The 15,133-nt window shown below is 45.7% G+C and overlaps 1 long non-coding RNA gene across 1 annotated transcript in view, besides 1 other annotated feature; it reads left to right on the forward strand.

Moving 5' to 3' along the window:
- Window positions 1-15,133, forward strand: part of LOC105377085 (uncharacterized) — a 29,600-nt gene that overhangs the window by 7,297 nt on the left and 7,170 nt on the right. The window lies entirely within an intron of this gene.
- Window positions 5,527-5,821: a silencer, noted in NCBI's record as "tiled region #10823; K562 Repressive non-DNase unmatched - State 24:Quies". NCBI's record gives its function as "represses a minimal TATA promoter and a strong SV40 promoter by Sharpr-MPRA in K562 cells {active_cell/tissue: K562}" and the evidence as "EXISTENCE:reporter gene assay evidence [ECO:0000049][PMID:27701403]".

Below are 15,133 nucleotides of genomic sequence, written 5' to 3' on the forward strand. Positions count from 1 at the left end.
AGACAAATCGCTCATGTGATAATTAGCAGCACATGATGTTTTAAGCTTCAGCTCACAACAGCAACAGGAAGTGGCTAGGAAATTATTGCAGTAGTACAGTACATACTACAGTTAATTTTATGCAGTTATGATTTATTTATTTATTTATTTATTTATTATTTAATTATTTAAGACTGGATCTTCTCTCTCTATCATCCAGGCCGGAGTATGGTAGTGCAACTATGGTTCACTGCAGCCTCAATCTTTTGGACATGCTCAATCCTCTTGCCTCAGCCTCCCTAGTAGCTGGGACTATAGGCACACACTACCACGCCCAGCCTGTGTGTGTGTGTGTAGAGATGGGCTCTGCCTACATTGCCCAGGCTGGTCTCAAATTCCTAGGCTCAAGTGATCCTCCTGCCTTAGCCTCCCAAAATGCGTTCATTACAGGCATGAGCCACTGCACCCAGCCAATTATGATTTAACACTGCATCTTTACATTCGTTCACATTTCTCTTGGCTGTAAATGGTGCTATATACAGTCTTTAAGTGTTTGTACATATAAGGTTTTGTTTTGTTTTGTTTTGTTTTTTTGAGATGGAGTCTCGATCTATTGCCCAGGCTGGAGTGCAGTGGCGCAATCTCGGCTCACTGCAATCTCCGCCTCCAAGGTTCAAGTGATTCTCGTGCCTCAGCCTCCCAAGTAGCTGGAATTACAGACGTGTACCACCACGCCTGGCTAATTTTTGTATTTTTAGTAGAGACTGGGTTTCACCATGTTGGCCAGGTTGGTCTCGAACTCCTGACCTTAGGTGATCCACCCACCTTGGCCTGCCAAAGTGCTGGGATTACAGGCTTGAGTCACCACGCCTGGCCTTGTAAGTTTTCATAAATTTTAACTTCTTATTTTATTTTATTTATTTTTTATTTTTTTGAGATAGAGTCTTGCTTGGCTCATTGCAAGCTCTACCTCCTGGGTTCCAGTGATTCTCCTGCCTTGGCCTCCCGAGCAGCTTGGATTACAGGTGTGCACTACCACGCCCTGCTAAAAATTTTAACTCTTTTTTTTTTTTTTTTTTGAGACAGAGTCTAGCTCTGTGGTCCAGGCTGGAGTGCAGTGGCACAATCTGGGCTCACTGCAAGCTCCGCCTCCCGGGTTCACGCCATTCTCCTGCCTCAGCCTCCCGAGTAGCTAGGACTACAGGCGCCTGCCACCACGCCTGGCTAATTTTTTGTATTTTTAGTAGAGACGGGGTTTCACCATGTTAGCCAGGATGGTCTCAATCTCCTGACCTCATGATCCACCCACCTCGGCCTCCCAAAGTGCTGGGATTACAGGCCACTGCACCCGGCCTAAAAATTTTAACTTTTTATAACAGATTTGTGAATATGTTATGGTGGTAAATGAAAAAATAAACTCATATCTACATGTATTTTATGCATTCATGATATAACTTTTTCTTAAATTTTAAAAATATTTCTAACCTGTAAGGTTTATCTGCAAGTTTTTTAAATTGTTGCACCAAAAATTTTTCCAATGTATTTATTGAAAAACATTTTTGTATAAGTGGACCTGCACAATTCTTTTTTTTTTTTTTTTTTTTAATTGAGACAGAATTTCGCTTTTGTCGCCCAGGCTGGAGTGCAATGGTGAGATCTCCGCTCACGGCAACCTCTGCCTCCCATGTTCAAGCGATTCTCCTGACTCAGCCTCCAGAGTAGATGGGACTACAGGCATGCGCCACCATGCCCGGTTCATTTTTGTATTTTTAGTAGAGATGGGGTTTCACCATCTTGGCCAGGCTGGTCTTGAACTCCTGACCTCAGGTGATCCACCCGCCTTGGCCTCCCAAAGTGCTGGGATTACAGGCGTGAGCCACCACACCTGGCACAATTATTATTATTTTTTAATTTTGTAGAGGCCAGGAGTGGTGGCTCATGCCTGTAATCCCAACACTTTGGGAGGCCAAGATGAGTGTATGGCTTGAGCCCAGCATTCGAGACCAGCCTGGGGAACATAGCAACATTAGCTGGTGTGATGGCACACACCTCTAGTCCCAGCTACTTGGGGTACTGAGGAAGGAGGATTGCTTGAGCCTGGGAGGTGGAGGTTGCAGTGAGCCGAGATTGCACCATTGCCCTCTAGCCTGGGTGACAGAGCCAGACCCTGTCTCAAAAAAAAAAATTTCTTTTTTTTGGTAGAGACGGGGTCTCAACTGTGTTGTCCAGGCTGGTCTCAAACTCCCAGCCTCAAGCCATCTTCCCACTTCGGCCTCCCAAAGTACTGGGATTACAGGCATGAGCCACCGTGTCCAACTAACCCTCACAGTTCAAATCTGTGTTGTGTTGTTCAAGGGTCATCTGTATATTTATAAATAAATACTCACGCATGCAGAGAATAGTGCCCATCCCATGGGGTTTGCAAGGATTACATGAGCTAAGGGATGTGAAGGGCTTAGCCTAGCCCAGATGAGTGTTCAATATGAGTTGGCTTTTTCTTTTATTGCCATCTCTGTCCCATGGTTCCCTCTCAGCTGCTATTCATGGGAGGGAGATGGTAGGAACAGGTCCCTCTTGCCCTTTATCTCAGTATGCTGAAGCATCAGAGGCTTTGTCACTAGCTCAGGCACATGGCTTAACTGGTGATGCTACAAGCCAGGCCTCTGGTGACAGTTACTAATCCCTGTTGGGGCCAGAATTCTGCACTCAGCCCAGACTTCTGAGAGGAAGTAAGCACCTACTTTGTGCCAGGTCCTATGTTCAGCCTTCAAAGTATTCTCTCGACAGTCTAACAAGGTAGGGTAGGCATTATGCTCTATTTTAAACAGATGAGTAAGATGAGGCCCAGAGAAGTTAAATTACACATTCAAGGCTACTCAGCTACAAGAACAGTCCAGGCAGAGTTTCTGCTCTCCTCTATCAAAAAGGAGGCACAGAAGTGAACATTCCACCAGCACCCCAAGGACACTCCCCGACCCCACAACCTCAGCAGCCTAATGGAAAGGCCACCTTGGAGGACTGCCTCTTCTTCCCAGGGGGGCTGGAGTAGCTTGGTGGTTCCACCAGGTCTGTTTGGACACTTGCCCTGGGGAAGAATGAGAAAGCATTGGCTGGGTGCGGTGGCTCACACCTGCAATCCCAGCACTTTGGGAGGCTGAGGCGGGTGGATCACCTGAGGTCAGGAGTTTGAGACCAGCCTGGCCAACATGGTGAAACCCTTCGCTACTAAAAATACAAAAATTAGCCAGGCGTGGTGGCGCACATCTGTAATTCCAGCTACTCGGGAGGTTGAGGCAGGAGAATCGCTTGAACCCAGGAGGCAGAGGTTGCAGTGAGGTGAAATTGAATCACTGCACTGCTGCCTGGGTGACAGAGCAAGACTCCGTCTCAAAAAAAAAAAAAAAAAAAAGAAAGAAAGAAAGAAAGAAAGAAAGAAAGAAAGAAAGAAAGAAAGAAAGAAAGTATCCCAATCCGGCCGGGCACAGTGGTTTACGCCTGTAATCCCAGCACTTTGGGAGGCCGAGGTGGGCGGATCACAAGGTCAGGAGATCGAGACCATCCTGGCTAACATGGTGAAACCCTGTCTCTATTAAAAATACAAAAAATTAGCTGGGCGTGGTGGCAGGCACCTGTAGTCCCAGCTACTCGGGAGGCTGAGTCAGGACAATGGTGTGAACCCAGGAGGCGGAGCTTGCAGTGAGCCGAGATTGCGCCACTGAACTCTGGGCAACAGAGCAAGACTCCGTCTCAAAAAAAAAAAAAAGAAAGAAAGAAAGTATGCCAATCCTCTCCTTAGGGGCCTGGGGCTGGGGCTGCTGGAGCGAAAGACCTGATTCTCCACAGACTCCAAGAGGTTTTCTCTTCCATTCCCCTGATCTCTCCCTTGCTCCTCCATCTAGCCACATTCAGTTTTCTTTTTTTTTTTTTTTTTAGTTTTTCTTGCTTGTTTCCATCATCATCATCATCATCATCATTATTATTGTTGTTGTTGTTTTGTTTTGGAGATGGAGTTTTGCTCTGTCACCCAGGCTGGAGCACAGTGGTGTGATCTCGGCTCACTGCAACCTCTGCCTCCGGGGTTCAAGCAATTCTCCTGCCTCAGCCTCCTGAGTAGCTGGGACTACAGGCGTGTGCCTCCCAGGTTCAAGTGATTCTCCTGCCTCAGCCTCCCGAGTAGCTGGGATTACAGGCATGCACCATCACGCCCTGCTAATTTTTGTATTTTTAGTAGAGATGGAGTTTCACCATGTTGGCCAGGCTGGTCTTGAACTCCTGACCTCAGGTAATCCACCCGCCTCGGCCTCCCAAATTGCTGGGATTACTGGTGTGAGCCACCATGCCCAGCCCCTTTTTAAAATTACTTGATTTAGGGCCAGGCGCAGTGGCTCACGCCTGTAATCCCAGCACCTTGGGAGGCTGAGGCAGGTGGATCACCTGAGGTCAGGAGTTCGAGATCAGCCTGGCTAACATGGTGAAACCCCATCTCTACTAAAAATTAAAAAAATGGCCAGGCGCGGAGGTACGCGCCTGTAATCCCAGCATTTTGGGAGGCCAAGGCGGGCGGATCACGAGGTCAGGAGATGGAGACCATCCTGGCTAACACAGTGAAACCCCGTCTCTACTAAAAACACAAAAAATTAGTCAGGCGTGGTGGCAGGCGCCTGTAGTCCCAGCTACTTGGGAGGCTGAGGCAGGAGAATGGTGTGAACCCGGGAGGCGGAGCTTGCAGTGAGCCGAGATTGCGCCACCGCACTCCAGCCTGGGCGACAGAGCAAGACTCAGTCTCAATAAATAAATACATAAAATTTAAAAAAAAATTAGCTGGGCATGGCAGCAGGCGTCTGTAATCCCAGCTACTCAGGAGGCTGAGGCAGGAGAATCGCTTGAACCTGGAGGCAGAGTTTGCAGTGAGCCAAGATCGCGCCATTGCACTCCAGCCTGGGCGACAAGAATGAGACTTCGTCTCAAAAAAAAAATTAAATTATTTGATTTAATTTAATTTATTTATTTGGAGACAAGATCTCTCTCATCCAGGCTGGAGTGTAGTGGTGTGATCTTGGCTCCTGCAGCCTCCACCTCTCAGCCTCAAGCAATCCTTCTACCTCAGCCTCCCAAGTAGCTGGGACTGCAGGCATGTGCCACCACGCCTGGCTAATTTTGGTCTTCCTTGTAGAGACAGAATTTTGCCACGTTGCCCAAGCTGGTCTCGAACTCCTGGGCTCAAGCGATCTGTCCCCCTTGGCTTCCCAAAGTGCTAGGATTACAGGTGTGAGCCACCACACCTGACCCAGTCCTCCCACTTTCAATTTAGGCCACCACCATCTCCCCAAAGGGGCCATTGTAGAGTTTCCCCATCCCCAGGCTTCTACTCTTAGTGCCCTTATGGTCCATTTAAATTGCAATTTGTCTTAGACTTTCATGTGGCTTACAAGTTCCCATGTGGCCCTGGCCCCATCTCCAGCCTTGCCTCTTTGCACCTTATCCTGGAGTTCCCATCTCTTGGCCTTTGCCTATGCTGTTCCCCTTGCTCAGAATCCTCTCCTGTATCTTTCACCCAGCCCCAACTTCTGGCCCTGGCCTGTCCTGTCTGTTCCCTTCTGTCCTTTACCTCAGCATAGGTTGGGAGCCTGCCTGGCTACTCTTGCCTCAATAAGGACCATTGTAATAGTATCCAGAACGCTTGAAGCTCCTATAAGCAAAACAAGGAGCCGATTGTAAGGATTGTAAAGAACTGATTGTATGGGGGTGTTCTTTAGACTCCACAGCCAACAACCCTAGTCCTTTCCTCCTCCCTCCTCTGGGACTCTCAGCCCAATGCTTTCTGCCTGGTTGCTTCATAGCTCCCTGCATCTTTGAAACTTGACTCAAAATCCTGGGATATAGAATAGAATTGGCCCACCTGTAATGAGGTAATCTCCCTGGGCCACTCAGCTACTGGTAGGGAACTAAGACTCACAAGACACACAGGGTCTCCAAGCCTCAATCCTGAGTGGGTAAGCAGTTTTACAGAGGGGAAGATGGGCTAAAAAGACCCCAAAGGTGTCTCCTATAGCTCCTTCAGGGAGTATTTACCTTGTGCTCCCCTCTTGCAGTGGTGTAACTACCACTGCCTGCTGCTGTTCTAACTCCTCCAATGGACATTTAGGCTTAGGACAGAAGCCAAGTGGTATAAATCCATCTCCAGGACCAAAATGAAATTTACCCAAAAAGTATTTGTGGGGTGAAGTGCAAAGAAAGCACAGAAAAAGGGCTGGCCTTCAGGTTCTTGGAGCCATCACAAAACAGGTCATGTTTGGGCTGGGCATTAGAGGGAGTAGATTTACTAGCTGGGAGGGAAAGATGACCCTCTGGCTTGAACTGGACCAGTCACACATTACTGTGCATCCAACCCATTGGGTGACTGCTATGGGATTAGGATAAGGCCTGGAAATGGGTGAGGAGTGGCCAAAGGAAGGATTTGACTCTTAAGTGTCTGAGCCAAATATTTCCTTTTCTGAACCCCCCTTCTCACAGGAGTTAAGGCTGTATTATAATTATGTTTGTTGGCCGGGCGCAGTGGCTCATGCCTGTAATCCCAGCAGTTTGGGAGGCTGAGGCAGGTGGATCATTTGAGCTCAGGAGTTCAAGACCAGCCTGGCCAACACGGTGAAACTCTGACTCTACTAAAAATACAAAAATTAGCCAGTCATGGTGGTAAGTGGCTGTAATCCCAGCTACTCAGGAGGCTGAGGCAGGAGGATCGCTTGAACCCAGGAGGTGGAGGTTGCAGTGAGCCGAGATTGTGCCACTGCACTCCAGCCTGGGCAATGGAGTGAGACTCCATCTCAAAAAAATGAAATTATGTTTCTGCACCTGTTTCTCCCAGGGGCCTTAGGGACTGTGAGGTTTTCATCTCTGTATAACAAATCCCCTGGGTCTGTTGGGTGAAACTGAATCACCAGATGGTGAATGTGTGGGCAGTAGCAACCCTAATAACCTTTTCAATACATGCTCACAGAAGCCAATCCTTGTCCAGATTTTAGGGCTACTGCAGTAGACTGACCTGGTCCCATCTGGAGCAATCAGACACAATTCCAGTAAGAATGGGATGCTACAATCTAGATAACTGCAAAAGTGCAGCTCAGTCTGGGGAACCCAGCTTACCTTATGTAATTGCTTTTTTTTTTTCGAGACAGGGTCTTGCTATGTTGCCCAGAGTACGGTGGCATAATCAAACCTCACTTCAGCCTCAAACTCCTGGGCTCAAGCAATCCTCCCATCTCAGCTCCCCCAAGTAGCTGGGACTACAGATGTGCACCATCACACCCAGCTATTATTTTTATTTTTGGTAGAGATGGGGTCTCACTATGTTGCCTAGGCTGGTCTTGAACTTCTGGGCTCAAGGGATCCTCCTGCCTCAGCCTCCGAGAGTGCTGGGATTATAGGCATGAGCCACCATACTTGGCCCATTTAGCACTTTAAAAAGTGTTTATAGGCCATTTCCCAATTTCTCGCCACTGTAAGCATGTTATTCCTGTTTTACAGATGAAGAACCTAGCTCAGGGAGGTTAAGTAGTTTGACCAATGTCACAAAGCATGTGAAAAAAGCTAGTCCCTCCCTCCCATCCCTAAGGAAGATCCTTTCATTGCTTTGAGGGAGTTATGGCCCCTCCTAAACATCCTAAGTTCTCTCCAGACCTCAGAGCCTTATCAGTGGGAATCATTGCCCTTTCCTTCCTCAGAGAAACAGAAATTGTGTGCCTGCTATGCAGAAGGCATCGTCCCTCCTCCCTTACAAACACCTGCTCTCAGAAAAACACCAGCACCAGCATAGTGAGACCTCGTCTCTACAAAAAAAAAAAAAAATTAGCCAGATGTGGTGCTGCACACCCGTAGTTCCAGGTACTCAGGAGGTTGAAGAGAGAGGATCAATTGAACCCAAGAGGTCAAGCCTGCAGTGAGCTATGATCATGCCACTATACTCCGGCCGGGGTAATGAAGACCCTGTCTCTGGAAGAAAGAAGGAAAGAAAGAAAGAAAGAACGAGTGAGAGAGAGAGAGAAAGGAAGGAAGGAAGGGAGGGAGGGAGGGAGGGAGGGAGGGAGGGAAGGAGAGAGAAAGCACCAGCATAACAGTCATTTACCTCTGAAGTAAGTAAAGTAAATGCACCTACTTTCTCACTGTGTAACATATGCTTTATTTGAATTCACAGATCTGGGTTCAGTTTATGGTTCCACCAGTTACTGGCTGTAAGATCTCAGGTAGCTCAATCACTCTGAGCTTCAGTTTCCTTTTCTTTAAAACTATGGTAAAATTCATATAACATAAAGTCATTTTAAATGAGGAATTAGGTGGCATTCAGTACATTCACAGTGTTATGCAACCACCACCTTATCTAGTTTATTTCTTTTTTGAGACGGAGTCTCACCCTGTCGTCCAGGCTGGAATGCAATGGCGCAATCTCGGCTCACTGCAACCTCCACCTTCTAGGTTCAAGCGATTCTCCTGCCTCAGCCTCCCAAAAAAAAGTAGATGATATTACAGGCATGCACCACCGGGCCTGGCTAATTTTTTTGTACCTTTAGTAGAGACAGGGTTTCGCCATATTGACCAGGCTGATCTTGAACTCCTGACCTCGTGATCTGCCTGCCTTTGCCTCCCTAAGTGCTGGGATTACAGGCGAGAGCCACTGTGCCTGGCTTTTTTTTTTTTTTTTTTGAGGAGTCTTGCTCTGTCCCCCAGGCTGGAGTGCAGTGGCGTGATCTCGGCTCACTGCAACCTCCGCCTCCCGGGTTCAAATAATTATCCTGTCTCAGCTTCCCGAGTAGCTGGGAGAATAGGCCCACGCCACCATGCCTGGCTTTTTTGTATTTTTAGTAGAGATGGGGTTTCACCATACTGGTCAGGCTGGTCTCGAACTCCTGACCTCAGGTGATCCAACTGTCTCGGCCTCCCAAAGTGCTGGGATTACAGTCATGAGCCACTGCTCCAGCCTCTATCTAGTTTCAAAACATTTTCATCACCCCAAAATAAAATCCTGTACACGTTTTTTGTTTTACATTTTTAAAATTTAATTTAAATTTTAATTTTTTTGAAACAGGATCTTGCTCTGTCACCCAGAGTGGAGTGCAGTGGTAAGATTACAGCTCACTGCTGTCTCAAACTCCTGGGTTCAAGTGACTTTCCCACCTCAGCCCCAAAATAGCTGAGAGTACAGGCACGTGCCACCACATGTGGCTAATTTTTAATTTTTTTTTTTTTTTTTTTTTTGAGACAGAGTCTTGCTCTGTCACCCAGGCTGGAGTGTAGTGGCAAAATCTCGGCTCACTGCAAGCTCCGCCTCTCGGGTTCACACCATTCTCCTGCCTCAGCCTCCTGAGTAGCTGGGACTACAGGTGCCCACCACCATGCCCAGCTAATTTTTTGTATTTTTAGTGGAGACGGGGTTTCACTTGTTAGCCAGGATGGTCTCGATCTCATGACCTCGTGATCTGCCTGCCTCAGCCTCCCAAAGTGCTGGGATTACAGGCGTGAGCCACCGCGCCCTGCCAATTTTTAAATTTTTTGTAGAGATAGGCCAGGCTGGTCTTGAACCCTTGGGCTCAGGTTTTCCTCCCACCTCGGCATGAGCCACTGCATCCAGCACTTTTCACTTTTTGGATAATGTCTGTGATTTCCCAACCTTTAAATTTTGATAAAGTCCAATTTATCTATTTTTATAATGCTTTTTTTTTTGAGATGGAATTTTGCTATTCTTGCCCAGGCTGGAGTGTAATGGTGCGATCTTGGCTCACTGCAACCTCTGCCTCCCAGGTTCAAGCGATTCTCCTGCCTCAGCCTCCTGAGAAGCTGGGATTACAGGTGTGTGCTACCATGCCCGGCTAATTTTGTATTTTTAGTGGAGATGGGGTTTCTCCATGTTAGTCAGGCTGTTCTCCAACTCCCGACCTCAGGTGATCTGCCCACCTCGGCCTCCCAAAGTGCTGGGATTACAGGCGTGAGCCACTGCCCCCAGCCTTTATAATGCTTTTTTATTGTGACAAAATATATGTTACAAAATTTACTTTAGATTTTTTTTAAATTTTTTTTATTTTTATTAATTTTTTTTTTAGACAGAGTCTCTCTCTGTTGCCCAGGCTGGAGTGCAATGGCGAGATCTTGGCTCACGGCAACTTACGTCTCCCAGGTTCAAGCAATTCTCCTGCCTCAGCCTCCTGAGTAGCTGGGACTACAGGTGCACACCACCATGCCCGGCTAATTTTGTATTTTGGTAGAGACAGGGTTTCACCACGTTGGTAGGACTGTTCTCAAACTCCTGACCTCAGGTGATCCACCCACCTCGGCCTCTCAAAATGCTGAGATTACAGGCGTGAGCTACTGAACCCAACTCATTTTAGCTATTTTTATTCATTTATTTATTTTTCTCAAGAGGGAGTCTTGTTCTGTTCCCCAGGCTGGGGTGCAATGGTGCGATCTCGGCTCACTGCAACCTCTGCCTCCTGGGTTCAAGCGATTCTCCTGCCTCAGCCTCCTGAGTAGCTGGGACTACAGGCACGTGCCACCATCCCTGGCTAACTTTTTGTATTTTTAGTAGAGTCGGGGTTTCACCGTGTTGGCCAGGCTGGTCTCAAACTCCTGACCTCGTGATCTGCCCACCTTGGCCTCCCAAAATGCTGGGATTACAGGTGTGAGCCACCATGTTCAGCCCATTTTACCTATTTTTAAGTGTACAGTTTAGTGGCGTTACATTCATATTGTGCAATCATCATCACCATCCATCTCCAGAACTTTTTCATCTTCTCAAACAAAGTCTGTACCTATTAAAGAATAACTGCCCATTCCCCACTCCCTATGGCCTCTGGCAACCACCATTGTACTTTCTGTCTCTATAAAATTGACTATTCCAGGTACTTCATATAAGTCGAATATATAATATTTGTCCCTTTTATGTCTGGCATAATTAACTTAGCATAATGTCTTCAAGGTTCACCCATATTATAACATGTGTCAGATTTTCCTTTCCTTTACAGGCTGAATAATAGTCCATCAATTTATACACCACATTTTGTTTATTCGTTTATCTGTCTGTGGACACTTGGGTTGCTTCTACTTTTTAGCTATGGTGAATTATGCTGCCATGAACATGAATGTACAAATATCTGTTCAAGGCCTGCTTTTGTTTCTTTTGGATATATATCCAGAAGTGGAATTACAGTAATGCTATGTTTAATTTTTTGAGAAATGGCCATACCGTTTACAGAGTTGCTGTAGTTTTTACATCTCTACCAGCAAGACACAAAGTTTCCAGTTTCTCCACATTCTTACTAAGAATTGTTATTTTCTGTTTTTTAAAAAATAACATCCTATACTTAAAAACATCCATCCTAATAAATGTGAAGCAATATCTTACTGTAGTTTTTATTTTTATTCCCTATTTAGTGATGTTGGACATCCTTCCCCATGTTTATTGGCCATTATATAGCTCCTCTTTGGAGAAATGTCCAAATTCTTTGCCCACTTTTGAATCAGGTGTTTGTTGTTGTTGTTTAATTGTAGAAGTTCTTTCTGTCTTTATTTATTTATTTCTAGAGGTGGGGTCTCACTCTGTTGTCCAGGCTGAAGTGCAGTGGCACAATCATAGCTCACTGCAGCCTCCAACTCCTGGGCTGAAGTTATCTGATCTTCCAACCTCAGCCTCCCAAGTAGCTGGGACTACAGGTGTGCACCATCATACCCAGCTTTTTTTTTTTTTTTTTTAACTTTTTGAGAGCTGGGATCTCACTATGTTGCTGAGGGTATGTTATTCGTGGGCTCAAGCTATCCTCCTGCCTCAGCCTCCTGAGTAACTGGGATTACAGCTGTAAGCCACCATGCCTGGCTCCTGCAGAAGTTCTTTATATATTCCAGATACCAATCCCTTATCAGATATATAACTTGCAATATTTTCTCCCATTCCATAGGTTGCTTTTTCACTCTGTTAATAGTGTCCTTTGATGCACACAAATTTTTAATGATGAAGTCCAACTTATCTATTTTATTTTGTTGCTTGTATTTTTGTTGTCATTTCCAAGAAATCATTGCCAAATCAATATCCCGAAGCTTTCCCTTCTATATTTTCTTCCAAGAGTTTTACAGTTTTCACTCTTACGTTTAGGTTTTTATGCATTTTTACTTAATTTTTGTATATAGTGTAAGCTGGGGGTCCAACTGCATTCTTTTGTATGAGGATAGCCAATTTTCCCAGCAACACTGGTTGAAAAAACTGTCTTTTGACCATATATGGAAGGATTTACTTCTGGGATCTCTATTCCATTTCATTAGTCTATAAGGTGTTCTTTGTGCCAGTACCACACATTTTTAATTACTGTAGCTTTATAGTTAGTTTTGAAATCAGCAAGTGTGGGATCTCCAACATTGTTCTTCATTTTCAAGATTGTTTTGGGTATTTGGGGATCTCTGGAGAGTTCACATGAATTTTTGGATGGGTTTTTCTATTTCTGCAAAAAATGTTATTGGAATTTGATAGGGATTGCATTGAATCTGTTGATCACTTTTGGTAATATTGCCATCTTAATAACATCAAGTCTTTCAATCCATGAACACAGGATTTTTATTTGTGTCTTTATTTCAGCAGTTTTATAGTTTTCTGTATACAAGTCTTTTGTCTCCTTAGTTAAGTTTATTCCTAAGTATTTTTTTCTTTTTGCAATAGGGTCTTACTTCTTTTTTTTTTTTTTTTTTTTTTGAGATGGAGTCTTGCTCTGTCGCCCAGGCTGGAGTGCGATGGCGCAATCTTTGCTCACTGCAACTTCTGCCTCCCAGGTTCAAGCAATTCTCCTGCCTCAGCTCCTGAGTAGCTGGGATTATAGGCGTGTGCCACCATGCCCGGCTAATTTTTGTATTTAGTAGAGATGGGGTTTCACCATGTTGGTCAGGCTGGTCTCGAACTCCTGACCTCGTGATCTGCCCACCTCTGCCTCCCAAAGTGCTGGGACTACAGGCGTGAGCCACTGCACCCGGCCAATAGGGTTTTACTTCTTTGCCCAGGCTGGAGTGCACTGGCATGGCCATAGCTCACTCTGGGGCTCAAGCGATCCTCTCACCTCAGTCTCCCGAGAAGCTGACTAGCTAAGATTATAGACATTTGCCACTTGGCTACTTTTTAAATATTTTCATGGAGACAGGGTCTCGCTATGTTGCCCAGGCTGGTCTCAAACTCCTCACCTCAATCAATTCTCCTGCCTTGGCCTCCCAAAATCAGGCATGAGCCACCATGCCTAGCCTAGTTTGTTCTTTTTGATGCTATTGCAAATGGAATTATTTTCTTTCTTTTTCTCTCTCTTTTTTTTTTTTTTTTTTTTTTTGATATGGAGACTCACCCTGTCACCCAGGCTGGAGTACAATGGGTCAATCTCAGCTCACTGCAACCTCTGCCTCCCGGGTTCAAGTGATTCTCCTGCCTCAGCCTCCTGAGTAGCTAGGATTACAGGTGCCTGCCACCATGCTTGGCTAATTTTTGTATTTTTAGTAGAGACAGGGTTTCAACATGTTACCCAGGCCGGTCTCCAACTCCTGACCTCAAGTGATCTGCCTGCCTTGGCCTCCCAGTGTGCTGGGATTACAGGTGCAAGCCACTATGCCTGGCCTATTTTCTTAATTTCCTTTGAATTGTTCGTTGTTAGTGTACAAAAATTCAACTGAGTTTTTAAGTTGTTTTTTTTAATTATTTTTTAGAGACAGTGTCTCATTGTTGTGTCCAGGCTGAACATGAACTCCTGGTCTCAGGCAATCCTCCTGCCTCAGCCTCATGAGTTTGAGGGATTATGGACGTGTGCCACTGAACCTGGCTTCAACTGATTTTTGTGAGTTGATTTTGTTTTTGTTTTGAGACAGAGTTTCGCTCTTGTTGCCCAGGCTGGAGTGCAATGGGCAATCTCGGCTCACGGCAGCCACTGCCTCCTGGGTTCAAGCAATTCTGCTACCTCAGCCTCCCAAATAGCTGGGATTACAGGCGTCCGCCACCATGGCTGGCTAATTTTTTGTATTTTTAGTAGAGACGGGGTTTCACCTTGTTGGCCAGGCTGGTCTTAAACTCCTGACCTCAGGTGATCTACCCGCCTTGGCCTCCCAAAGTGCTGAGATTACAGACTTGAGCCACTGCACCCAGCCTGTGTGTTGATTTTGTATTCTGCAACCTTGCTGCCTTTATTAGTTCTGACACATATTTTTTTTTTTGGTAGACTCTGTAGGTTTTCTACATATAAAATCATGTCAGCTGGCTGGGTGTGGTGGCTCATGCCTGTAGTCCCAGCACTTTGGAAGGGTGAGGCAAGGCAAGAATATCACTTGAGGCTGGGAGTTCTGAGACCAGCCTGGGCACATAGTGAGACCCTTTCTCTACAAAAAAAACAAAACAAAAAAAAAAAAACCTGATATACCTATAGTCCCAGCTACTCTGGAGGCTGAGGCAAGAGGACTGCTTGAGTTTCCTGGAGTCCCAGGCTGCACTTAGCTATGATTGCATCACTGCACTCTAGCCTGGGCAACAAAGTGAGACTCTGTCTCTAATAAATAAAGAAATAAATAAAAAATCATTGGCCATCTGAAAATAGAGATAATTTTACTTTTTCCTTTCCAATTTGGATTTGTTATATTTCTTTTTCTTGCCTAATTGCTCTGGCTAGGATTTCCAGAACTATGTTAAAAAGAAGCAGCAAAAGTGGGCATCTAGGCTGGGCGTGGTGGCTCACGCCTGTAATCCCAGCACTTTGGGAGTCCGAGGTGGGCTGGATCACCTGAGGTCAGGAGTTCAAGACCATCCTGGCCAGGGAAGCCCTGTCTCTAATGAAAATACAAAAATTAGCTGGGCGTGGTGGCAGGCGCCTATAATCCCGGCTACTCAGGAGGCTGAGGCAGGAGAATCACTTGAACCCGGGAGGTGGAGGTTGCAGTGAGCTGAGATTGTGCCATTGCACTCCAGCCTGGGCAACAAGAGTGAGACTTCGTCTCCAAAAAAAAAAAAAAAAAAAAAGTGGGCATCCTTGTCTTGTTTCTGATCTTAGAGGAAACAGTTTCAAGTTTTATCCTTAAACATGATATTAGTTATGAATTTTTCATATACAATCTTTATTATGTTTCTTCTATTCCTAGTTTGTTGAGTGCTTTTCTCATGAAA

This window comes from Homo sapiens, chromosome 3 (genome assembly GCF_000001405.40).
Source record: "Homo sapiens chromosome 3, GRCh38.p14 Primary Assembly".
Classification (NCBI taxonomy): domain Eukaryota; kingdom Metazoa; phylum Chordata; class Mammalia; order Primates; family Hominidae; genus Homo; species Homo sapiens.